The sequence below is a fragment of the Homo sapiens genome, chromosome X (genome assembly GCF_000001405.40).
Source record: "Homo sapiens chromosome X, GRCh38.p14 Primary Assembly".
NCBI classification, from domain to species: Eukaryota; Metazoa; Chordata; class Mammalia; order Primates; family Hominidae; genus Homo; species Homo sapiens.
Window position 1 is genome coordinate 96,151,229 of NC_000023.11, and position 3,296 is coordinate 96,154,524.

The window sequence follows — 3,296 nt, forward strand, 5'->3', positions numbered from 1 at the left end:
AATCTGGAAACAAAAGTGAGAATAAGAAATGATTTTTTGTTCTTGTGATAGTTTACTGAGAATGATGATTTCCAATTTCATCCATGTCCCTACAAAGGACATGAACTCATCATTTTTTATGGCTGCATAGTATTCCTATTGCAAGAACAAAAAACCAAACACTGCAAATTCTCACTCATAGGTGGGAATTGAACAATGAGATCACATGGACACAGGAAGGGGAATATCACACTCTGGGGACTGTTGTGGGGTTGGGGGAGGGGGGAGGGATAGCATTGGGAGATATACCTAATGCTAGATGACGAGTTAGTGGGTGCAGCACACTAGCATGGCACATGTATACATATGTACCTAACCTGCACAATGTGCACATGTACCCTAAAACTTAAAGTATAATAAAAAAAAAGAAATAAAAAGCCATAGAATAAGGAAAAAAAAAGAAATGAATGCTTTGCTTTTTGTGTTGAGATAAAGTATCTTCTCCACCATTTCTCCTTTCCTTTAGATTAGGAATTTCCTTTTTTTAAAAAATTTCCTTCTGTATTTTTATATAGATTCCTCTGATTTCGACTTACTCAACACAAGCATTAATGTCTGGAACACATTCTAAACTTCTCTCCAGAAGTGTGGCAAATAAAATGGATGGTCTTTATTGAAGGACATTAATGTTTTGCAGGAAAGAAGATGAATTCATATAAACAGTGAACTTAATTTTTATTAGTAAATTCTGTCAGCTTACTTATTACTGTGCTGCTAAAGAGTTTCCAGTTAAAGGAAGATATAGATATTATATTTCAATACTGAATGGTTTCCAGAACAGAGGACTTCAAAGTGGCTGCTATAATCTGCAAATTAATTGAAAATATTTTTTCTAAAGAGGTCGAAAAATAGTACCTTATAATAAATACTATTGCAGATAGAGGTAGTCTTAAAACAAGAGATCACAGACATTTAAAGAAAAATGGGAAAATAAAGATTCCAAATCTCTTGTTTTTTAAAGATAATATGGAGCCCAGTGAGGGGAAGTGGCTTGCGTTAAATCATCTATCTAGTCAGTGGCAAAGCCAAGGTCAGAGAATTAGTTTCTTGATCCCTGGTTTGATGTGCTTTTCACAAATGTCTTCTGTGTCATTATAACCATTTATTACTATTTTGAAAATTCAGGAGGAGGGGAGGATAGGAAGAGGTTGATCAACAAATTCAAAATTACAGCTATATAAGAGGAATAACTTCTAGTGCTCTATAGCACTATAGAGTGAACATAGTTAACAATTATGTACTGTATATGTTTGAAAGCTAGAAGAAGGGATTTTGAATGTTTCCAACACAAATAAATGATCAATGTTTGAGGTGATGGATATCCTAATTAACCTTATTTGATCAATATACCTTGTATACACGTATCAAAATATTACTCTGTATCCCATACATGTGTACAGTTATTATGTGTCAAAGAAAAAGAAAAAGAAAAAAAGATGAAAGCAGGAAAAAAGAAAAGAAAATTTAGTGAATGAAGAAGGAAGTCAGCAAGTATGTACTGCTGGAAGTAGAGCACTGTATTTCATGTTTAGTTTCAACATAATCCAGGACTCAAATCAGTTCACACTGAATGGAGTTTGAGTATCAATTTTAAAAAACATAACCAGTTAGCTTGCAGAATAGTAGAAACAAACCTGAGCAGTTTTGCAGGCATTTTATTGGAGAAAAAGTTTATTGAGACTATATGACGGAGTGGAATTTTGGCTTATTTCATATCTTTAGAAATACAGCCCATGGTTCATTTTGTTATCTGCTTACTGTTTTCTTATTGTAGCAAATCTACTTTAAGAATATAAAGAAGCTTTTAGTCTTCTCAAGCCTGGGGGAAAAAAACCACACACACATACATACACACACACACACACACAGAGAGAGAGAGAGAGAGAGAGAGAGAGAAAGAGGGAGAGAATTTTCCCATTAGTTGTCTGATATTATGCTGGTAATGATTAGAAAGACATAACTAAATAATCACACTACTAGAAAGCTGTTTCTTATTAGCTTTTGCTTAGTGGGGTAAGTGTATTATCATGCAAGAGGGCTATTATTATACCAAAAATAGGTGATAGACATGAATGAGAATCTTCATAGCAATGGTATTTGCCTCAGATAAAATTTGGAGAGGAAGAGTGTTGGAAATCCCATTACATCAGAGCATCAGAGCCTGAGCGTCTTTGACCGATGCTGAGATGAAAGGAGCCACCTAGTCATGCAGCTGTATTATTCAGGAGCTTCTGATTAGGAAAAACCAAGTAAGGCTCAGTGATCAAACAGCAGCCACCTGAAGCCTCTGGTGTCCAGTCACATCTAGTGTAGAAATCCAAGAATCCTTTTTAAAAAATCCTCTAGAAAATCAGAAAGCTTTACAGATTATTTTTAGCAAAATAGAAATATGAGAATTTAAGGCTGTTTTTAGAAAATCCTTCCTGTAACATGTTCATCCATCACGCACCCTTCACCAAAGCAATGCACTATTCAGTCTACCCTCAGAGTGACATCAACCTAGGAAGCAGAGATACTTCAATGACTCTAAATAGTGACTTATCGGAAAGACACTTGAGTGCGAGTTTTTCCATTAAGGATTCCTCCACACAATGATATCTTCTTCTAGTTCCAAAATACAAGTAAAATTAATTGAGCAATACAAAATTTAGAGTGTTCCATCAGTGAAAGTATTATGAGGGCATAAGTAAACATAATATAGAAGCTGTGACACTGAAAGTCTGGCTAAGTGGGTAAAAATTTCAAAATAGAATCCTGTGGTATACATAAATATCAGCTACCGTAAGTGCACTTTCGAATTCAACTTCCAAGTAAATGACCATGTCACTAGCAATCCCAGCCAAGACCCAGACAAATCACATGTAGTAAGAAGCCATATAAGATGCAGTTAATTGTTTTATTGCAAATACTTCACTGTGGGATTATTATCATTTCCTTGTATGCTTTAATATCATTGTGCAATCACAAGGTCAAAGGAAATTCATTGATATATAAGGGGATTGCTGAAGGAAAGGTTTGACTGAGTTTGTTGGCAAGATACACAGATGTAAAGAAAAAATGCAAAAAATGAAGGGATTATTTAATTGATGCCTATTCATTAAGTCTGTATTTTTATCAGTTCTCAATTAACCCAAATAGATTCATTACTACCTACACACTTTTTAAATTCCCATCATTTTCAATAACTCACATTTTTGTCACTTTGAGGAGCTTTTACCATTATTCACTCTCAGCAAGAGCAGCATACTGTTCTATAA